This window comes from Homo sapiens, chromosome 21 (assembly GCF_000001405.40).
Source record: "Homo sapiens chromosome 21, GRCh38.p14 Primary Assembly".
NCBI classification, from domain to species: domain Eukaryota; kingdom Metazoa; phylum Chordata; class Mammalia; order Primates; family Hominidae; genus Homo; species Homo sapiens.
Genome location: NC_000021.9, coordinates 42496313 through 42518526, shown reverse-complemented (window position 1 = coordinate 42518526; position 22214 = coordinate 42496313). Strand labels below are relative to the sequence as shown.

The window sequence follows — 22214 nt, the reverse complement described above, 5'->3', positions numbered from 1 at the left end:
CCCCACCAGGACTCACCACTGATCCCTGGAGAATGAGATGATGAAGCGAATGCCAGCGGGGAGTCGAGCCATTTACGTCGCCACTGACCACTGAGCCTCGGTCGCAGAATAAGATGCTTCATAAATGAGTCATTAATCCTGGCTCCAGATCCTCTCTCTGTTGCCCCTGCCGCTCCCACAGGCTGGAAAGCGTGGAAAGAAGGTGTCCTGCTGGGTCTTGTCCCCTTCCTTCTGGCAGTGGCTCTGCTCTCTACAAGGAGGAGGAGAGGCATTCAGAGTCCAGTGTCGTGACATTCACACCTTCAGCGTTACTGGCAGAAGTAACCACACACGTACAGTAGCAGTACCCAGTCCTGATCAAAGCTGCACGTCTGATACAAGCAGGGGCCCCCACCAGCAGTGTTACTAGGAAGAGGGGGAGTGAGGTGGAGTATCTACCCTTGAGGCGGTTTGTTCTGAGAACCTGGAAATGAATTTCAAATAATGTTCTGATGGTGGATAAAAAGGAACCAAGGAACTCATCTCTATCTGGGAGGCATCTAGAGATCAACCCATTCACAAAACCAAGTATGTGTCCAGCAGCCACGCTATGTGCCCAGATATCAAGGCATGCCAGGGCACTGGACTGCCTCAGTTCCACCCCTATGGACCAGGCCACCTTTGAACCGTAGTGACAGAGAAATGTGGGCCTAGACAAGAGGGCAGATCAAACCAATCATTTAATTGTGACTTTGCCATTTGAATCCAAAGGAGGAATGAATTTGCCTCGTCTGCCTCTTCATTTTTCATCTCCTGTGGTCACCTCAGAGGTCACAGAAAATGACCTGATTATGAAGTCAGGGCTGAAGGCAGAGCAATATAGGAAGGAATGGGGAGGGAGGCCAGAGAACTGAGAAGGGGCCCAGCACAGCAGGCAGGCCTGGTCTCCCATCCCAATGTCAAACTCATGACATTCCTGAGTCACTGCGTCCTCCAAAGCCAATCAGTTCCCCACATTCACTTTTGCCTCCCTCGAAAGTGAGCTTCCAAAAATGCACATTCTCCAAGGATTTTTCCCTTATACCACCTTTTACAAAAAGATTCAAAATCCCTGCTGAGCTTTCGTCCCAGGAGCCGCCCCTCATCTCTTCTATCTGCTCCAGCCAGAACTACACCTTTCTCCTAGGTCCTACAGGGCCTGAATAGGTGGGATTCACCCCACTCCAATACCTCCTCCTTCCAAGGCTGACCCTGGGCTGTGTAAGCCGAGGCAAGTCACTTAACCTTTCTGCTCCCTCTCCTTCAAGGCTAAACAATGGGGATGATAGCATCCATGTTGTTATAAACATGCAATGAGATAACCTATGGGAAGCACTTGATAAGTGGCCTGGTACGTAGTAAATGCGCAACAAACACTAGCTGATATTATCCTCATTGTAAATTCAAAAGAGGAAGGCCCGGGACTGCAGGGCAAGGTCCTACTTCCATCTCCTTGTCCAGAACCTAGCACAGACCACGTGCTCAAGAAACTCACGTTGAATGAACAGCCACAAATACTTCAAAACCACGTCTGCTCAAACCTCTAGATTTAAGCAATATTTTGCTCAAAATGGGTGGGCTCCAGAATGGGTCTGGATCTACTCTGGGAAATGACTTTGTGATGACAACTTCAGAGTAAAGAATTTGGTTCAACAGTGTCTGGAAACGGATGGTCAGAAGCAAACGTCTTCCTCTCAAGTGCTGCTTCTCCATGTCCAGCGTGTCTGGAAACATTCCATTGCCATCTACTAAATAAATCAAAAACCTCCAACTCTGATAAAACCTGTGACAACAACATCAAAGGCCCAGAAGGCACTGACAAATCAAGAAGGGAAAAAAAACCTCTTTGATTTCTTTTTAAAACAATGATGGATTCTTTTCCCTGTAAAATGGGTGAAAGAAAAGTGCTATAAATTCTCATAGTGAGTGCAGTTAAGATGTGCAAAGACAGTGATTTTACATTTGGGATGTTAAGAGCTCAACTAATGAGGCCCTTCCTCCCTAGCCTGTGCAGCACCACTAAAGACCACTTCATTTTGAGTGGGTCAAGACCTCTGGAAGCACGAACCATGACTGACATGCTCTCATTTGAGCCCCGTGACCACCCTGAAGAGGCAGGGCGTTCTTTTCACAAGGGAGAAAAATGAGGCTAGGCGGCTCGCCTGGGTCAGCTGGATAAGTGGGGCAGATTCCAGTTTGTCCTGTTTCTCTGAGCCACCTCCTCCCTCCAGCCACTCTTCTTCCTGCCCATCCCCTGCAGAGAAAGGGCAGCAGAATGGGAGCAAATCACTTGGTTTAAACCCAGTTTTTGGCACACTGCCCAAGTACATAAAAAGAAGAGATACTTTTTTAAAAAGTCACTCTCTACAGGCCCCCCTGGAACTTACCATTCCAGGGAGGAAAAGCGGCAGAATGTCCAGTTTCATTGCACTGTCAAACACAGCAACTTAGGCCAGGCATGGTGGCTCATGCCTGCAATCCCAGCACTTTGGGAGGCAGAGGCAGGCAGATCACTTGAGGCCAGGAGTTCGAGACCAGCATGGCCAATATGGCAAAATCCCATCTCTACCAAAAATACACAAAAGAGCTGGGCGTGGTGGTGCACACCTGTAATTCCAGCTACTCGGGTGGCTGAGGCATGAAAATCACTTGAACCTGGGAAGCGGAGGTTGCAGTGAGCTGAGATTGCACCACTACACTCCAGCCTGGGCGACAGAGCGAGACCCTGTCTTAAAAAAATATAAAAAGATAGTAACTTAGGAAACAGCCCATTAGAGCATCTTTATTACAACCTGTAAAACCTGCACATGTACCCCTGAAACTAAAAGTTAAAAAAACAAACAGACTCTGAAAGACACATGGTTTTATACCTATTTCTTCAAAAAACCCACCCTAGGCAACTGTAAAACAGAATAAGCTGAGGAAAGAAACATTCACAAGCTCCACTCCCAGACCCACCCACATGTGATCTGCGCTGCCTAGAAGGTTCCAAGTAATCTGCAGAGACTCAAATAATGGGGATAGGAAGTGAGCAATAGCAGGAGTAAGGTTCCTCAGTCTTTTTAGGGCTGAGGTGGCATTACACATAATCAAAGCGGCCCCACAGATATTTTAAATAATCTACTTTATGACATTTTTTTTTAACTGGGTCTCACTTTACAGGCAAAGATGGGTGAGAAATGCAATTCTCCTCCAAAAGTTTTCATGCATTTTTTCTTTTCTTTTTTTTAAATTACGAGATAGAATACAACTTCCTGTCCAGAGTGTGCTCTTTCTATGGCTTTTTGCTTTTAAAGGCGCTTTCCATATTAAAGATGAATGAAAATGGTCACTATCTCTTTCCCCTTGGCTGAAGTACAAGGAACCTGAATTCCATTTGCACCACCTCCCTTACCTGCCTCCAACCCCCAACAAAGAGAACATCACAGGTGGGCTGCATGAAACAGAACGTGTAAATGCAGGTCCAAAATGACTTGGTGAATCACAGGTCTGGGGCCAGGTGTTTTCAAGCTTGCTCTCAAAGGGGATTAATAAAAAAACAACGGGGGAAGTCTAAAATATTTATCCACTTACACAACTTCAGACGATTTAAGTTCAAGGGCCGGCAGGCAGGCAGGCAGGCACCTTCCAGGCAAAGAGCTAAGGGAGACCCGGAAAGGGCAGGCTTTAGCAATTCCTCCTTTGGAAATTCAAACCTGGGGCCGCGGGCTGGGGTGTTAGCGGGGAGTGGGGGTGGTAAGGGGCTTGGCCAGTATCCTTCGTTCAAATGCAAATCCTTAGACTGAACGTACCTTCTCGGTCACCAGGATTACGGCGTGGGCCGTAAGGGCTGGAAGGCTGGTGGCCAGCGGCGAGGGGACTTTCCGGCGCGTCAAGCCCTTTATTATAAACCCAGAAGGTCGCTGTCACTCGCATTGGCCAGGAGGCCCACGGGCTCCGGGAACCAGCTGCTCAGCCGACAAACAACGCAAAGGCCCAGGGTGCCGGCGCTCCGAGCCAGCGTTCTGTGCCGGCTCCTCCCTGGGCGGCTGGTCCCCGGAGGAGGTGAATTCCGCGGGCACGCCCACGTCCCCATCGCGGCAGACAATGCGCAGGGTCCCCTCCTGCCGGCTCTCTGGACCCTCAGCTGTCACCGCGGCCCGGGCCGGGGTGGGCAGGGGACCCGGCTGGACAGCTAAGCTCGCCCCTGCCGGGGACTCCGTGGAGCGGCTGCCGGCCCCGTGCCCGCTCCCTCTGCCTCCACTTCCCCGGAATCCCAGCGTTGCCCCGGTCCGGGAACGCCCGGCATTGTCGCCGAGGGCCACTCTTCTAGATGTCGTATTTCAAAGACTTCCCTCCGCGAAAATAGCTTGAGACCGTCCCCGGCTCTCGGAAAACATCCAAACCAGCCCCCACCTCCCCCCGAAAAAAAAGAAAAGGAAGGAGAGGAGCCGAGCTCCGAGTGCGCAGGGCCCCGCGCCCGGCTCCCTGAGGGCGCCGCAGGTGCTGAGCGGCTGCGGCGCCTGAGCGCCGGCTGCCCCGCAGGTGCGGGCGGGGGGGCGGGGGGTCCCCGCCTCCCGGTCCGGCCCCGGCCCCGCGCCTCACCTGCGCCGCCGAGGCCCGCGCTCCGCAGCCCAGCCCGGCCCGGCCGCCGCGGGCGCTTCCTGCTCGCGACTTCCTGGAGCGGCGCGCGGGAGGCCCCGCCGCCCTTTCACTTTCCCTGGCCCGCGGGGCGCCGGCGGAGCCGCGCGGCTCCTCCCCCTCCCCGGCCGCCGCGACCCCCGGCTCCGGCCCCGGCCCCGGCGTGCCCAGGGTCGCACCAGCCCCGGGGCCACCGGGCGGGGGCGCCCCCACGCCTTGCGGCACTGCCCGGCCTTTGCGGGCGAACCCGGGTCATGGCCCGCGCCTTCCCCGGCTCCGAGGGCGCACGGGCTTTCGCTGGCGCGCTCCCCACCGGCCTCCGGGCAGTCCCAGGCGGCCTCTGCACCCCTGGCGCTCTGTCCTCAAGGCAGGTCTTCCCCACAGGCGGCGAGGGTCACATGCCGCCGCGCCCCCACCCCCAAAGAGGGCCTTTGCTTGGCCTCCCGGCTTCTATTCCTATTGTGTCATGTCAAGGGGCACAATCATGAAGACTAGCACTCCATAGCGTGGAAATGCGGCACGCGGATTTGGCTATGTCGAACCAACTTGTAAGCCAACTTGTGTCCCACCTCGCAGGCACGTGACAGAGGCAGCTCCCTGTTAGGCTGCGGGAGCCCGCCGGGTTCTTACCCTTGCGGGCCAGTGCCCTGGCACACAGGCTCCCACGTCACCCCAGAAACAACTCTTCTCCTTAGGCAGCCCCAGGGAGGGGCCTGGCCAGTCCCCTAGAAGCTACTGCCGAACACCCACAGTGGACCCCCAGGATGGCTTCAGAGCAGAGGGGGCTCCCAGCCCACTCCTCGGGGAAGAGCAAAGTGAGGCAGAGCGGAAATTTTCCGGGGAAAAAGCCTGCCCCCGGATAAAACAATGTTTAAGGATAAAACCAACCCGAGGCCTGGCTGTAAATGTCCCAACAGGCCAGTGCCCCTCGCACCCTTCCCCAGGCACGTTGAGCTTCCCTCTGGAGAATGGAGAAGGCATTCTTCCCTGTGTTTGGCTCCCCTGCCCTGCTAGGCCTCGCAGTTTCCCCCTGGGGCCCTGCTTTGTTTCTAGAACACTCTGATGTCTGTGTCTCTCTTTGCTGAGCTGGGCTGCGTGAAATCCATCACTTTGTTAGGCATTTGAGAAGCCTTCTGCAGGCAGAAAGAAAACCTGCCCACTTCTTTGCCACGCAGGGTTCAGCCCCAGGAAGCCCGCCGGCCCCTCATTCCGCAAGCGGGATGGCCCAGGGCTCCAGTCTTCTCCTTTTGGCCAGGTTTTCTTCAGACCTTCTTTCTCTCCGCAGGCCCCCTGTGCCAGTGCTTTCTCCTCTCTTTTCTAGCTCTCCATTCCCGGTGATAGCCCAGTGTGGCTCCCACCCCTCTCTCCAATGGTCTCCCCAGCCCTGGCCCTTGCCATTGGTTCGGCTCGAGGCTACCCCTCTCTCACTGCACTTGTGCAACAGCGTTCTCACTTCCAAGTTCTACCTCCTGCAATCCACTCTTTAAGCTGCCTCAAGTTGCCCTCCTAAAGCAAAATCTGATCTTGTCATTCCTGATTTTCAAACCTTTCGGGCATCCCATCACCTACAGGTTTTACACTTGAAAGGCGATAATACAAGCTCAGGATATATAGGACACCTCGGCCTCATATGGAGACAGCTTCTTCCCACCCCCCCTCCCCCCCACCCAGTTGTACTGACGTATAACTGACAAATAAAAATTACATAATTTGTAGTATAGGATGTGATGTTTTGATATATGAATACATTGTAAAATTATTGCCACAGTCAAGCTAGTATATCCAATCACCTCACATTATTTTTTTTTTTTTGGTGGTGAGAATATTTAAGATCTATTCTTCTTGCAAATTTCAAGTATACAATGTATTATTACTAACTATACATTAGAGCTGTACATTAGCCCTCCAGAACTTACTCATCTTTCCTAAGTGAAACTTTGTACTCTTTGGCCAGCGACTCCCCATTTCTCCCACCTACTGCCCCTGGTAACCACCATTATTATATGCTCTGCTTCTCTGAGTTCAAGTTTTTCAGATTCCAAAAATAAGTGAGGTCATGCATATTTTTCTTTTTTGTTTGTTTGTTGGTTTGTTTTGAGACAGGGTCTTGTTCTGTTGCCCAGGTTGGAGGGCAGTGGCGTGAGTGCAATGGTCAAGGCTCACTGCAGCCTTGATTTCCCAGGCCCAAGTGATCCTCCCCCTCAGCCTCCTGAGTATCTGAGAATACAGGCCCATGCCACCATGCCCAGCTAATTTTTTAAATTTTGTAGACACAGGGTCTTGATATGTTGCCAAAGCTGGTCTTGAACTCCCAGGTTCAAGCAGTCTTCCTGCCTTAGCCTCCCAAAGTGCTGGGATTAGAGAAGTGAGCTACCATGCCTGGCCTATATTTGTTTTTCTGTACCTGGCTTATTTCACCTAGTGTAATGTACTCCGGGTTCATCCATGTTGTTGCAAATGACAGGAAATCCTTCTTTTTTAAGGCTAAATAGTATTCCATTGTGTAGATACAGCTATACACCACATTTTCTTTATAAACTTCCCTCTAGTACTGCTTTTGCTGCATCCCATACGTTTTGGTATGTTGTTTCCATTTTAATTTGTCTTAAGGAATTTTCTGATTTCCCTTTTGATATCTTCTTTGACCCCACTGGTTGTTCAGGTGTGTATTTAATTTCTGCATATTTGTGAATTTTCCAATTTTCCTCCTGTTACTGATTTCTAGTTCATGTTATTGTGGTCAGAAAAGATACTTGATATGATTTTAATCTTCTTAAATTTGTTAAAACTTGTTTTGTGGCCTAACATATGATCTATCCTAGAGAATGTTCTGTGTACATTTAAATGTGCATTCAGCTGCTGGGGGAAGGAGTGTTCTGTATGTCTGTTAGGTCCATTTGCTCTAGAATGTTATTCAGGTTCACTGTTTCCTTATTCATCTTCTGTCTGGATCATCTATTCATTGTTGAAAATGGGGTACTGAAGTACCCTGCTATTACTGTATTGCTATTTCTCTCTTGAGTTCCGTTAATATATATTTAGGTACTCTGATGTTGGGTGCATATACATTTATAATTGTTATATCCTCTTGATGAATTTATCTCTTTATCATGATATAGTGACTTTGTCTCTTATGAAGTTTTTGACTTAAAGTCTGTTTTGTCTGATATAAGTATCTTTTTTGCTCTCTATTTGGTAACCATTTGCATGGAATATCTTTTCCCATGCCTTTACTTTCAGCCTATGTGTATCCTTAAAGCTGAGTCTCCTGCAGGCAGCACCTAGATTTTTTTTTTTTAATATCCATTCAGCCACTTCTATCTTTTGATTGCAGAATTTAATCCATTTACATTAATTATTGATAAGGACTTACTACTGCCATTTAAAAAATTGCTTTCTGGCGGTTTGTAGTTCCTTTGTTGCTTTGTTACTCCCTTACTATCTTCCTTTCTAATGTGATGATTTTTGTAATGGTATGCTTTGATTCCTTTCTCTTTACATTTTGTATATCTGCTGCAGGTTTTTGTTTTGTGGTCACTATGATGCTTATATAATACATTTTAGGCCAGGCGCTATGGCTCTCGCCTGTAATCCCAGCACTTTGGGAGGCTGAGACGGGCAGATCATGCAGTCAGGAGATCGAGACTATCCTGGCCAACATGGTGAAACCCCATCTCTACTAAAATACAAAAAATTAGCTGGGCGTGGTAGTGTGTGCCTGTAGTCCCAGCTACTCAGGAGGCTGAGGCAGGGGAATTGCTTGAACCCAGGAGGCAGAGGTTGCAGTGAGCTGAGATCGCATCACTGCACTCCAGTAATAAAACATTAGCTGCCTACAGAAATCCTACACTTTAATTTTTCCCCACCTCAACTTGTATGCCATCAACTTAAGGAGCAGACATTCTCCCAGAGAAGGCCAAGGCAAAGCCAGTGACAGGCCTTGACTGACAGGGAACTGAGGTTTCCCTGAAGGGGGCTTTGAAGATACTGGGCTTCAGAGCTCAAGAAAATACCTCATGCTTAGAAAGCATTAGAGCATTAAACACTATTAGAGAGAAAGAAAAGGGAAAATCAGAACCTGATTACTTAACATGGAGAAAAGAAACTCATTTTATCTCCACTGATCAAAAAGCAAGAATTCTAATGGTATGGTGCACTGACTGGCGAGGAAGGGTGATTTATATTCAGTTACTAGTGTTGTTGATAAGAAATACAATGAAAAGCCTCTGATTATTAAGCATGCTCTGTATTCCAGGCATTGTGCTCGGCCTACGGATATAAAACTGACAAGAGTCCACACACTGAAGAACTATAACCCAATCCAGCAAACATAATTAGGTGTGAAGGAGTAGGCGTTCCCAGTCCTACAGGAGCCCAGTGAGGAGACTGGCCACGGCCCCCTCCCCATGCCACACTTCCAGTTGCAGTACTTTTGACTCGCTTCCCAGTCGATTCACGTATGAAAGCTCTGTTTCCTCCAAAGAATTCTCCTCCTTGATCGTGAAGAACGGGCAGCGGCCATGAACAACAATGACTGAGTCACCGTGGGTGGGACAGACCTGTCTGTCCTACAGCATCAGGGGAAGTGGCAAGGGATGTAAGAGAACTAGATGTTGTCTCTAAAACCAGAGGTCCATAGAAAAGCTTTAAAATTGGACATAAAAATCATAGTTTACTCATATTATTTAGAAATATAGGGAACTACCAGAAGAAATGGGTAAAAGAGTAGAAAATGGTAGGGGAATGAGACAGAGGAGTTGAAGGGATAAAGCCAGGCCCGACTGTTTGTTGTTATATACCTTTAGTATCATTTGATTTTAAAACTATTGGCATGATATTTAAAGAAATATCAACATAAAGACAGAAGGCTGTGCTTAATTTAGGTAATGGCATTTTAGTGGTAGAATTTTAGACACTGTGATACTTGAATTAGAGACATATTGGAGGAGAGGAGCTTTCAAGTGTCCTGAAATAATAAGGGGACAAACACCCATTTATAAGGGTGGTTCTCTTTAAACTACCTGTATAAAATAGGCAAATTTTCTTGCTTCTAAGACCCCTTGGCAGTGTTTCCCAGCAGAGTAACTTTCTTGCTTTTCTTCTATATGTGTAGCAAGGGAAATAGTAACTGAGAGAGTGCTCACGGGTATTTGGGGAGTAAACTGGATTCTAACTGAAGTAGGACTTGATAAAGGCTTGAATCAGATTCAGGGACTCACATTTCTTTCAGTGAAGCATTCCTCTGTAGCTGAGCTCCACTCTGGGGCTAACTTGTTGCCTGAGCCCATCTGTTGTAAATTCCTCTTGAGTTTATGCCTATAGGTAGAATGAGGTCAGGTATGTGGAAATAGGAAACTGACCCATCAACTAAGGAGTCATTCTTGCAGTTGAGCTAGTGCAAATACATGAGATAAGCAAGTTGGAAAATTTTTATGGGGTCTGCAAAAAGACATACTCTTAGGCCAGGCACGGTGGCTCATGCCTGTAATCCCAGCACTCTGGGAGGCTGAGGCAGGTGGATCACCTGAGGTCAGGAATTCGAGACCAGCTTGGCCAACATGGTGAAACCCTGTCTCTACTAAAAATACAAAAATTAGCCAGGCATGGTGGCGGGCACCTGTAATCATAGCTACGGGGGAGGCTGCGGCAGAAGAATTGCTTGAACCCGGGAGGCAGAGTTTGCAGTGAGCTGAGATTGCGCCATTGCACTCCAGCCTGGGCAACAGAGCGAGACTCCGCCTCAAAAAAAAAAAAAAAAAAAAAAAAGAGCGTACTCTTCAGTCCAGTTATAGTTTGGTAAACTGTGTGGCTTAAATCAAGGGGCTGTTCTTTAAAGTTCCCTCTGGGCCAGCATTTGATGATTTATGGACATGGTACTTTTCTTCTAAACAAACACTGTCTGATGGGAGAATGAAATTACTCATATCCTCTTTATCAAACTGATATTGTTTGGGTATTTGTCCCCTCCAAATCTCATGTTGAAACTTGACCCCCACTGTTGGAGGTGGGACCTAGTGGGAGGTGTCTGGGTCATCGGGGGAGATCTCTCAGGAATGGTTTGGTGCTATCCTCTCAGTAGTAAGTGAGTTCTCACTGTATCAGTCCCTGTGAGCACTGATTAGAAGGAGCCTGGCACCTCCCTCCATGCTCTCTCTCTTCCTTCCCCTCTCACTATGTGAGGCCTGCTCCACTTCACCTTTCATCAGGAATGGAAGCTTCCTGAGGCCTTCGTAAGAAGTACGTGCTGGTGCCATGCTTCTTGTTCAGCATGCAGAACCATGAACTAAATAAACCTCTTTTCTTTATAAATTACCCAGCCTCGAGGATTCCTTTATAGCAACCCAAAAGGACTAAGACACACACTTTAGTACTCTTTCCCGGGTTGCCTATCTATTCCCACCAGACATGGAGTCTGGGAAAGGATGGCTTTGGATGGTGAGGCTTTCTGCTCCATCAGCTTAATCTACCCTACTTACCACAGGCTGACAGTTTAGGCAGCCAGTCCCCCTCACAGCCTACACTGAAGACCTCAGCACTCACTGTGGCCATCAGAAGGCGCATGCCCTGGGTTCCTCTAGGCAGCTGCTCCTTTCCAGTTAATTTATAGTTTTAACTCTTATGGTTAAGACCATTAGTATTTAACTCTTGTATCTTAAATCTTTTCTAAAAAAGACTTATGTAACTCAATAATAAAAGCAACTTATTGGGCTGGGTGTGGTGGCTCATGACTGTAATCCCAGCACTTTCGGAGGCCAAGGCAAGTGGATTGCCTGAGCTCACGAGTTCAAGACCAGCCTGGGCAACACGATGAAATCCCGTCTCTACTGAAATACAAAAAATTAGCTGGGTGTGGTGGCATGTGCCTGTAATCCCAGCTACTTGGGAGGCTGAGACAGGAGAATTGTTTGAACCCAGGAGGCAGAGGTGGCAGTGAGCTGAGATCGCACCACTGCACTCCAGCCTTGGTGACAGAGTGAGAGTCTGTCTCAAAAAGAAAAAAAAAGCAACTTATTGAATATGATATTCTTTCCTGAATATTACTCAAGATCATGTTTTTGAGTATCAGTTATGATTCCACAGTGAATACTGACCTAGCAAAAAAAAAGGCATGGGACTTGGAATCTGGAGTGACAAGTTCAAATTGTGACCCCAAACTTACTATTTTTGGGACCCTGTGAAAGTCACTTTACTCTCCTGAACTCCAGTTTTCCTAGTGTGATTCTGTGGGGTTGATGTATGGATGAATGGGGAAAGTAAGGTGTTAGAATGTAGGCACCATGAAAGCAGAGATTTTTTAACCGGTTTTATTCATCAGTGAATCCTTATCATGTATAGAATCATGCCTGGCACACAGGAGACATTCAATAAACATTTATGCTAATATTCCTAAGAATGCTTTAGGAACTGTGAATTAGTGTACAAATGCTTATGGCTACTCTAATTATTGGAAAGCACAGCTAATTAGTATGAATATGTAAAAAGTCTAGGATTCATATCAGGAGCTGAAGGAAGGAGAGAACCACAAAGTCCCTTTCATCAGCTTATTTTGATTTGCTATTTTTCTCTAAAAATGAAGTTTGATTCCCTCTCACCATCCTTAATATAAATCCTGTTAAGCTTTGATTATTTGACACAAAGTTAATAGAGGTTTAAAAATCAAATATGCCTACAAAGTTCCTATATATCACTTCACAGCTATCCTTCTGATGGCAAATGAAGGAACATCTGTAAGAGTACATGGAAATGCCACTTTAAATTCAAGAGTATCAACATTGAACGAGGCCTGCGATGCCAGTACTCATGTTCACCGTGCAAGTATACAAGGGAATCCTCTTACTGCCTGCCCAGCCTCCACTTCAACAACATTAGCCTTATTAAATGTGTCACATGGGGGAACATTCAACCAATTTGTGCTCCAGTTTCTTCTCCTCTAATGTAGGGTCATTGAATGTTTTCATCTGTAAGACACTGTCCCTATTACAAAGATGAATAGGAGAGGTCCTCATTCTTAGGAAATGAACAATCTAGTTGGTACAAAACTACAGAGAACCTCACATCACATAACTTAAAAATTCCCCTAAATCCTTAACCTGTCAGAAATCAGAAATTTTCTGGTTTTAACTTTTAGAAAACAAAATTTAAAAAGCTCTTTTAGAAAAAAAATCATGTTTTGGATACTGTAATTTTCACAAGCCAATGTTTTGCACATACCAGTAGCCTTGGCTGTGTCTCTGCTGTAGAGTTGAAGCTTGGTGGGCTCCCTACCTGCTGGGGGCTGAAGCCACAAGGATCTAGGTTGACTCTGAGGGGTCATGCCTCTCCAGCCTTCCAACTCTCTGACAGTGATGGAGTGTAGAGGGTTACTTCAGGGGCTACCCACCTGGGAGACACAGTCACCTGGAGGATACTGTGGACAAGGGTTGGGGATAAAGCCTGCCTATGGGGTTGTGTAAGTGACAGCTGAGCTGAGACCTGGAGAAGGCATCGAGTTACCCAAAAGAAGAGTGGAAGGTGTTCCAAGCAGAGAACAAACAGCATAGGCAAAGGCCCAGCAATCCTACAGAAAGTTGGGTTTGGGGAACTGAAAGTCATTATGGCCACAGCAGAGAGTGTGGTGTGTGAACATAAGGCAAGAGAAGAGGCTGGGGAGGGACTTAGTGGCCACATCATTCAGAGCCTAATAATCGAATGAGGGAGTCTGGACTTCACTACTGAAAGATTTTAAACTGAAGAACAACGTGATTAGATGTGTGGTTTTAAAAGATTATTCTGGTCAGTGTGGCAAATAGATTAGAAGACAGTGAGACTAAGGGCAGGGAGACCACCTGGGCTGTTGGCGTCTTCTTGGCAGAAAATGATGGTGTCCTGACTAAGGAAGAAGCAGTGGGAATGGAAAAAAGTAGATGGATTTGGAATAATTTGGAAGGAAGACTCTCCAGGATTTGGAGATTGGTTGGGGAAGGGGGAAGGAAAGAACTGGTCCCTGACATTGATGATGTTCAGATTCTGGCTTAGTAAACCGGTAGCAAGTGGGCCCTTCATTAAGATAAGGAAATAAAGCGGAGAGAAGAAGTTCAGTTTTGCCCTTGTTGAGTTTGAGGTGGATGATAAAAAGGTCAGCCCAAGAAGTGGCTTCTTTGTGGGATCTGGAATGTAGGGGAGGAAGCATAAGCAATAATAACTTGAAACTGTTCTCAAAACCCTTTTAGAGTCAATTAATTCATTTATTCTGGTAGTGAACTTGGGAGTAAGACGCCTGTCTTGCAGGGTCATGCTGGGCACAGGCAGGCTAATGAGTTCTTGCTTTCTGGGTCCTTTTTCTCCCTTTACTGTATAAATTTTACTTTTTCTACTACATTGTAATACATATCATATATGTGCATGACTTAAGATAGTAACAAAAGAAAATATCATGACACACATAGAGAAGTTTCTAGAACTAAACACATACCTCGATGTCCAACTTGCTGCCAGTTAGCTTGAAAAGGTTTTCAGGATTAAGGTGAAGAAAACAACCTAATAAAGCCAAGCTGCCTCTTCACTCCGGAGAGTTTTCCTAAGCTATCACCCCTATACTCTCTCCAACACATCCTTGGAACTGAGACCAGGGCCAAGATGACCCAAAATGACCAGGCCATGTCCCCATTTCTAGCCATCCTAAAGCCTGGTGCCCTTCTGGGACCCTCTTTAAATGTATTAATATAAAGAACTGCTAAAAAGAAAGCCACAATATTTTGAACATACCAAGATAACTAAGTAATCAAAGAAATGCATTAGTGAATCACATTCTAAATGAAACAATCTTCACTTATCTTGTTTAATAAATACGTATTTTCACATTTCCATGCTTGTTCAGTGGGGAAACTCTTTTAGGGCCCCTGAACTGAGACTCTGTTCTGGGGTCATAGATAACAGCACTGAGATGTTCTAGTACCACCCGGATGTGGTTGCCAGGGGCCCCGTCTGGTTCCTCCCAGTGCAGGGCCTCAGTGGTCAGATAGCACAAAGCCAGCTCTGGGGAACCTAAAATTACCAGTCCAGTTTAAAACCTTTCTGGCTTTCCTGTTTGTAGAGGGAGAGGGAAATGGTTCATTTAGCTCTTCCGATAACTGTATTTGCTCCACAACTATTTAGATGCTTGTCCTAGTAACTAGATAATTAAAAATGGGCTTGAGGAGAGGAGAAAGGCAATTCAAACAAGCAGGTATGCCAGCGCCACGAGAGGAGGACAGCAACAGTACCCAGAGCTGAGGAACTTCTGGTAGTCACCCAAGAAACATGAGTGAATGACATACTGAGAAAAGACACCCGACACATTGTTTTCTTAAAAACAAAATGGAGGCTGGGTGTGGTGGCTCACACCTGTAATTCCAGCACTTTGGGAGGCTGAGGTGAGTGGATCTCTTGATCCACATGTTGTTGAGCCTGGGCGACATGGCAAAACCCTGTCTCTACAAAAAAAATACAAAAAATCAGCCAGGTGTGGTGGTAGGCACCTGTATTCCCAGGTACTCGGGAGGCTGAGGCAGGAGGATCACGTGAACCTGGGAGGTCTAGGCTGCAGTGAGCTGTGATCATGCCACTGCACTCCAGCCTGGATGACAGAGCCAGACCTTGTCTCAAAAAAAAAAAAAAAAAAAGGAGTATAATTTCCTTAAGTAATACCCCTTACCTTGTTCAACTTCATATTAAAGATTTTCATTCATTCTCTTATCCAACATTTGTGACATAATAATTTTGGTATATCCTTAAGGTGAAATACTATTGTCTTTAAAACACTTTGGAAATTTTTTTTGACATGTGCACCATATAATGACATGTGATAATGTAAGTGACAAATAGAATGATTTCAATTAAATAGACATATATATGCATTTTAAAAGCATGAAAGGATTCACACCAAAATGGCAGTAGTTATTATCTTTGGGAAGTGAGATTATTGGTTTTCTTTATTTTCTTCATTATACTTTATTGTATGTTCCCAATTTTCTAAAAGTACTCAGTAATATTTAATAATTGGAGCATCTGGTATGTGTCAAGTTCTGTGCGACACTGTGGGGTGGAGGCCTTGGGAGGTGCTTAGGGAGGCTGACCTGGAAACACGTTCCAGTTGTGTAGGGAATGCGTCAGAAGCACAACCAGAGAGATGGTAAGAAGGGGCCGGCAGCAGTTAGAAACAGCATCCCTAGGAAGGTTACATCTGGTAAGATATTAAAGTTGACAAATTGTTCACCAGGTAGAGAAACATGGGCATCACATTTCAGAAAGAGAAAACAACATATACAGATATATGAAAGTGGCCTGCAAAAAACTAATCTAAATAATTAACAAGGGTTATCATAGGTGAAGAATAAACATTTGGGGAAAAATGCTTATCTTCTCAAATAATCGAGAAAATATGAATACAAACTAAAGTCACTATGAGACACTGCCTGTCCATCAGATTAGCAAAGAAGAAAAATAGGACTTACAGTAGGCGAGGGAGCAGTGAGTCCCACACTCTGTTTTGGTGAGAGTGGGGATAGGTCCGGCCATTCTCGGAGGCAATGCAGCAACATGTATTTAGGCTCAGCAATCTCTCAATTCTATAAAGCTGCAATCCAAAGAGCTGAATTTGAGATGTGGACAAAGATCTATGCATTCAGATGTTAATATTTATTTCATTTACTCATTCATCTATTTACTTTGGGCAGGGGTTCACAGGTGTTCACTGTATTACTTTGCTGGCATACGTGAATATGTGTTCTTTTGCATGCATCAAATGTTACATAATTAAAAGATTTTAAAACCTGAGCTAAATATACACGTTACATTTCTATAGCACTTCCAAATCATTTCATCCTCGTTATCTTATTTGATCATGACCTTCCTGTAAGTTGGGTAGGGGGAGCCTTATTCTGGGAAAATCATGGACACGTGGTTCAGCATGCCACCTTTTTCCCTGTCCCTTTTCTAGAAAATCTGATCCACCCTTAGACCTTGAAAAGTACAGCCCCATGTAGCACAGGATCTCCCACCACAACTGCTGGTTAGAGTGAGGCTATCTGCAGCATCAAAACTAGAACCAGCCTTACATATCCACCAGTAGGAAAGAGTGACCTCCACTTTGGAATGAAGGATTAACATGTAGCCAGAAGGCATAATAGTTTTGTTTTTGTTTTTGTTTTTTGAGATAGAGTTTCACTCTTGTCTCTTGTCGCCCAGGCCAGAGTGCAATGGTGCAATCTCGGCTCACTGCAACCTCTGCCTCCCGGGTTCAAGCGATTCTCCTGCCTCAACCTCCTGAGTGGCTGGGATTACAGGCGCCCGCCACCATGCCCAGCTAATTTTTTGTATTTTTAGTAGAGACAGGGTTTCACCATGTTGGCCAAGCTGGTCTTGAACTCCTGAGCTCAGGCAATCCACCCACCTTGGCCTCCCAAAGTGCTGGGATTACAGGCGTGAGCCACCGCTCCCGGCCCTGGTAAATTTTTTTAACAGTGTAGATTAATGTAGAATTTGCCCCCCAATGGGTCTGTAATTTCTTTCTCATTTCCTTGTAATCCCCTAGTACTCGACCTAGAAGACACTCAGACGTAGTTAAGCAACTGATATCCTGAGAGAGCCCTCGGAAAATGGAGTGTGATTTAAGAATAAAAAAACAAGAAAAAGAAAAAATTTCACGTCAATTTTTCTCTTTTCCTACTGCTGCATAAAGCACAGCTCTGTTGCAAAATAATATCTAACATTTAATTTGATAAACCTGTGTTGGTTGAGCACTTACTATGTGCCAAGCACTGAGCTATGTCCTTGAGTTGCTACCCAACGTGAAATTCGAGTCTATCCAATTTTCTGACATCTCGTCTCCACACTGGTGTCCACTAAACTGTTTTCCCTACTGGTTTTGATGCATCACTGAATAATCTCACTTCCTGGGTGAAAAATACTTTACATTTCTCTCTTGACAACTGTGTTTCAATAGCCTTCCATTGACCTACATACCTCAGGTATGGGCGTGTGTGTATCTGGCATTTTCCTCCTTGCTGGGTGCCAATTTTATGAGACATAATCCACAAACAGTTCAAATACCTACTTACGCTTAAGAATCTACCTGTCTATATATTTCCAGAAGCTTCAGTCTCTCCCCACCCTTATGTATATTAGTGCTAATGAATATGAGCATTAAAACTAATCTGTTCGTCACAGACTAACTTCTGATTGTCACAAACAACTGACAGAATCATCTTTGGCAGTTTGATTCTTTTCAAGAAAAAAACACGACTGAAAACGATTAAGATAAACTTGAGTTAAAATTCCCCCCCAAACATACTGATAGACAAAAGGTGCTTAACCTATTGTAAGATTAACAGCAGTACAATTAATAGTAATAGCTCCCATTTACTAAGTGCTTTACTTTGTGCTAGGCACTATGCTACTCTCATTATGAATATCTAATTTTGACCTCACAACAGCCCATTTTACAGATGAGTAGACTGACTTCAGAAAGAAGTATACGGAGCTAGGGCTCCAATCTCGGGTCTGTCTCTATCCACTAAATGGCAATGTGTGATACTACCAACACTATTTTAAAAAGTTTTCGATTCTACATGTAGATAGAACTTTTTCTATCTATATACTCTAATATGTTTGTTTATAAATATGCATATATATGAAATTGGTAAATTTACCAGAGTACAATTATTCTAATAAACAACCTCATAGTTCTATAGTTAAGATGGACCTGAACTCATTTTGTTGAAAGTCCCTGCTTTTTATCTGAACAGTGCCTACAAAAAAAAAATCTGTTTGCATTTTACTGAAGCCCCTCAGTTCTTAAGGCCTTTTCTCCACACTGTCCAGGAGAGCTCAGAAGAGACACACTTAGGGACTCAGTCGCCATGGCAACTGCCAAGCTGCAGGGCCTCCAGCTGGGAGGTGGGCCTGGAAGGTTGTGGAAAATACAGAAGGCAGCCCCAGGGTGGTTTCAACAGTTTCCCCGGCCTAGGCCATCCCACCAGGAAGCAGAAGGCACCCTGACCAGCGCCCCTGCAGAGATCAACCATGGCCAGCCTGGGACTGTTTTTCTTCTTTTTGAAGGGGTTAATGGGTAAAAGGAAATGGATCGCTCCATTTATACTTAAGAAGGACAAGAAGATCATTTCTTACGGAAGAAACGAAGTACAGAGGAACCGTGGCCACTGTTGCCCTCCACTCTCTCGAGGGCCTTCCCCTCGGCCCTCCCTCCTCCCTGCAGAGCCGCACTTGCGCGAACTTCCCACTTGGGGGTTATGGGAAGGGCCTCTGTGGATGATGGGAAAGCTCCGCAGGGGATAATGGGAATGCCTCGCGGGGGATGATGGGAGACCCCTGCCAGAGGAATATGGACAGCCCCTTTTGATTTTTAAGTAGTGAAAGAGGATTTCCTCTCATTTTCCAGTAAGGAAAAACCTCCTGATGATGTCCTCATCTTTCTGCCTCTCATCTCCCCACCACTCCCACGCCCCAGGAAAGGAGGAAGGTGGGCTGAACAAGCATTTTGAGGGCCTTCAGAATTGGAAAGCGCTGCTTCTGGCATCACCAGGCATTTCCAGGTCACTGTGGGGTTAGGAGTCAGGGATCCTGGGGCTCTGAGTGAGGCATCGACTTGGCTTGATGAAGTCCTCCTGGGGCTTCCTGGGTGCACAGAGAGGTGCCCAGAGCTCCGACTGCCTCTTGGCAGCTGTGGCTCTCAGCTGGATCTGGGCTGGGATGCAGCTTCTTTCTGGAAGGAGGAATTTAGAATCCAGTCCAGGTGCTGCTGCAGGAGATGCCGGGAGGCCCATCCTGTTGTTCACCCCTTCTTGCCTTTGGTGTCAATTATTTGGATAATTGCCAAACCCACAGTGTGGTGAAATTACTATAGATTGACTGAAAGATTTGGGAGGGAAGACCCTGGCTAATTCGTATGGGATAGAAATCAAATTGTAAACCTTAGGATTTAATAGCTATAGCTAGACGTCTAGCTGCTAATGATGTGATCCAGAACAGGGTTTGCTTAACCATGTGGTTTGCTTAAGCCACTCTCTGGTGTTTGCAATCCAAGGCATTTGAACTAGTGGTCCTCTGCTTGGTAGATGGTTTAGTCACTGCCAGAAAACTATAGTTATTTCTTTATATCACAGATCTGGGAGGCAGTATAGTGATGGGCAACAGTTGCTCTTGGGTCAGCTGGCTTGATTTGAATCCCACTAGCTGTATGATCTTGGGTAAGGATCTTAACTGCTGTCGACCAAAGTTAAGGCTGTTGAGGCGGAAATTGATAAAGGCTTATTGAAAGCCAAATTTGAAGATTGAATGGGGAAGACACACCAACAAAGTTGGGTGTGTTCCAAAGTCTGTTACAAGTTGCAGTGCTTTTATAAGAAAGTTGAGGAATGGGAAGGGGACTCCTCATATTGCAGTTGTCTTTTTTCATTGGAGGGACAATATAGAGGTTACAGTCATTGGCTACAGATGACAACATACAGGCTAAAATGTTTTCTGCATATGCACAAGACAATCAGTGAAACGTCATGATTCAGAAACAAATCAGTATCCTTTTCAGTGTCAGTAGTTTACGTATTAATTAGTACATCAACAGTCTGAGGAACTCATGATACGATTTGAGAGATTCACAGTAAGATTGTTTGCTCAAGTACAGGATGTAAAACACGAGTCATAAGACCTTCTCCAGGTAGTTAAAATATAGTTTATTCTTTTAAGTGTAGGGATGCATGACTTAACTCATGCCTGGCATGGCCTTAGGTCCTGTTTGTAAGTTGGTATCTTACTGCCACAGCGTCCATTCTGTCAGTCTTATGATCTCTATTTTAACATTAATGCTTGTTAGTTGTTGTGTCTAAACTGCACAAGGGTATTAGTGAGGCATGTTCGACCTCCCTTCCCATCATGGCTGAGAACGCAGTTTTTAAGGTTTCTGGGGCCCTCTTGGCCAAGAGGGGTCCATTCAGTTGGCTGTGGTGGGGCTTAGGAGGTTATTTTTAGTTTATAACCCCCTATAACTCCCTTTCCTTAGATGTTCAATGGAGGAATGATAGTGAGGATTTAATAAGATAACTCATAAAATTCTTAAAACAGTGCCCACACACAGTGTCAGAACTTAGTAAACACTGGTTACTGTCATTGTTAGGACAAATTTGAAAGCTAAATTTCTGACATTTTAAATGTAAAAAACGAGTATTTATTTGCATATACTTATGTTACCATTCTAGATTTCTAACATTTAAAATGCTTCTGGCATTTTATTATAAAAATAGGACATGCTTAATTGTAGTAACTGGGTAACTGCCAATATGTAGAGAAGAAAATAATAATCATCTGTTATCCCTAACTCCCCACTTTTCCCCATAAGAAAAGCTGTTAAATTTTGGTGTTTACAACATTTTTATCTTTGCATCTAAAAAACGACATAATTTTGGAATCTCGTGTGTTGTTGTAACTTGTGTATTTATTCAGTAAGTAATATATTTGGGCCTGATGATGGGTTATGGTTGTAACCTTTCATATTAGCATTGGGAAGAATCTCTAGGGGATGTGTGCTCTGGAAGATCAGCAGCTTATTCACCGCGTGGATTTGGCTTCTGGGATTCTCCCATCAAGACCAAATCCTATAGTTATTCAGTCACTCCTCCCCAGCTCCTGCAGCAACAACAAATAACACAGCTTTGCAGTCTGGGATGATGGCAGAGGAAATGGGAGATGTGAGGGGCCTTCGGCAGGCGGAGTGCGTCAGGTAAAGCAGATTTCCAAGCCTGCACGTGTACATGCGTGTGCGTCTGTGATTGTGTGGGTGTGTGACAGTGTAGGGGAGCCAGGAGCGAGAGGAGAGGACGGCGATCGTAGGGGACACCTGAGAGTCAGAGGCCCGAGGGGGCTGGGACTCATGTCGAGGTCGGGGAAGGATGTAAAACCCGGACGGACATCACTGTAGGCCGCACCTGCTGAGAGGCCAGAGCTGCCTCCTTGAGAGTGAAGTTGTTTACAGACAAGAGAAGAGATCTTGGCGGACACATCACAGCTAGCCGCGAATCCCGAAGGGTCAGCAGAGCCTAGAAAGGTAAGTGGGGGTGGGCAGCATCCCCGGAGGGGCCTGCGAGGCCTGGGGGCGGAAGGGAGCGGGCAGTGCCCGCACTGGGCAGGGGTGAAACCCTCTCGAGAGTTGGCCCGGACGCGTTTCCCGCGTCCTTCCTCTTGAGGGCCCAGTACCCAGGTGGCTCCTCGTTGTGGCGTCACAGAACAGCCGACAAAAGTGATGGATTTCAGGGGCCAGCGACGGCGAGGTCCAGGTCAGAGAGCCGGTGGGCAGCCAGGCACAGAACCCGCTCAGGCCCTGCCCAGTCCCCGCCCCCTCGCTTCCCGAGCAGTGATTGGCCGAAGCGGCCCCTCGTTGCTATGACGGCACCAGAGTGCTGCCACTGGCTCCACCTCGTCCCTTCCGCCCCGCCCCTCCGTATTCCCGGGCGGTGATTGGTCGAGGTGCCCTTCCCGTTGCTATGACAGTACGCAAAGGCTGCCAGTGGCTCCTCCCGCTTCGTCCGCGTCGCCTGTCCCCGCTCCCC

At 46.2% G+C, this 22214-nt stretch overlaps 1 protein-coding gene and 1 long non-coding RNA gene across 17 annotated transcripts in view, besides 9 other annotated features; both read right to left on the bottom strand.

The window, feature by feature from the left end:
• Window positions 1–18905, bottom strand: part of SLC37A1 (solute carrier family 37 member 1) — an 81805-nt gene extending 62900 nt beyond the window's left edge. For 4 of the 16 annotated variants that reach the window (XM_047440842.1, XM_017028377.2, XM_017028381.2 and 1 more), the window contains exons 1-3: window positions 4603–4675; window positions 3810–3896; window positions 17–250 (exon numbers count right to left, since the gene is read on the bottom strand). In XM_047440842.1, the coding sequence (XP_047296798.1) occupies window positions 17–72 (56 nt within the window). In that variant the 5' untranslated portion in view covers window positions 73–250; window positions 3810–3896; window positions 4603–4675. Of the gene's footprint in view, window positions 1–16; window positions 251–3591; window positions 3658–3809; window positions 4676–16109; window positions 16232–18783 lie in introns of those variants that run through there. The other 12 variants (XM_047440844.1, XM_017028380.2, XM_047440850.1 and 9 more) reach the window with 6 other exon arrangements.
• Window positions 3755–3984: an enhancer, noted in NCBI's record as "active region_18522". NCBI's record gives its function as "activates an Ori minimal core promoter by ATAC-STARR-seq in GM12878 lymphoblastoid cells {active_cell/tissue: GM12878}" and the evidence as "EXISTENCE:reporter gene assay evidence [ECO:0000049][PMID:35858748]".
• Window positions 4145–4244: a silencer, noted in NCBI's record as "silent region_13348". NCBI's record gives its function as "represses an Ori minimal core promoter by ATAC-STARR-seq in GM12878 lymphoblastoid cells {active_cell/tissue: GM12878}" and the evidence as "EXISTENCE:reporter gene assay evidence [ECO:0000049][PMID:35858748]".
• Window positions 4255–4334: a silencer, noted in NCBI's record as "silent region_13347". NCBI's record gives its function as "represses an Ori minimal core promoter by ATAC-STARR-seq in GM12878 lymphoblastoid cells {active_cell/tissue: GM12878}" and the evidence as "EXISTENCE:reporter gene assay evidence [ECO:0000049][PMID:35858748]".
• Window positions 4555–4914: a silencer, noted in NCBI's record as "silent region_13346". NCBI's record gives its function as "represses an Ori minimal core promoter by ATAC-STARR-seq in GM12878 lymphoblastoid cells {active_cell/tissue: GM12878}" and the evidence as "EXISTENCE:reporter gene assay evidence [ECO:0000049][PMID:35858748]".
• Window positions 4555–5548: a biological region, named in NCBI's record as "H3K4me1 hESC enhancer GRCh37_chr21:43933089-43933811".
• Window positions 4826–5548: an enhancer, noted in NCBI's record as "H3K4me1 hESC enhancer chr21:43933089-43933811 (GRCh37/hg19 assembly coordinates)". NCBI's record gives its function as "activates a minimal SCP1, AML or CMV promoter by ChIP-STARR-seq in naive H9 embryonic stem cells {active_cell/tissue: H9 hESC(naive)}" and the evidence as "EXISTENCE:reporter gene assay evidence [ECO:0000049][PMID:30033119]".
• Window positions 5549–6271: an enhancer, noted in NCBI's record as "H3K4me1 hESC enhancer chr21:43932366-43933088 (GRCh37/hg19 assembly coordinates)". NCBI's record gives its function as "activates a minimal SCP1, AML or CMV promoter by ChIP-STARR-seq in naive H9 embryonic stem cells {active_cell/tissue: H9 hESC(naive)}" and the evidence as "EXISTENCE:reporter gene assay evidence [ECO:0000049][PMID:30033119]".
• Window positions 18721–19221: an enhancer, noted in NCBI's record as "H3K4me1 hESC enhancer chr21:43919416-43919916 (GRCh37/hg19 assembly coordinates)". NCBI's record gives its function as "activates a minimal SCP1, AML or CMV promoter by ChIP-STARR-seq in primed H9 embryonic stem cells {active_cell/tissue: H9 hESC(primed)}" and the evidence as "EXISTENCE:reporter gene assay evidence [ECO:0000049][PMID:30033119]".
• RSPH1-DT (RSPH1 divergent transcript) lies at window positions 21084–21988 on the bottom strand. Its single transcript, NR_135518.1, has 3 exons — window positions 21862–21988; window positions 21594–21704; window positions 21084–21294 (listed from the first exon to the last, which is right to left on the bottom strand). It is a non-coding gene; the product is annotated as an RSPH1 divergent transcript (long non-coding RNA).
• Window positions 21957–22196: a silencer, noted in NCBI's record as "silent region_13345". NCBI's record gives its function as "represses an Ori minimal core promoter by ATAC-STARR-seq in GM12878 lymphoblastoid cells {active_cell/tissue: GM12878}" and the evidence as "EXISTENCE:reporter gene assay evidence [ECO:0000049][PMID:35858748]".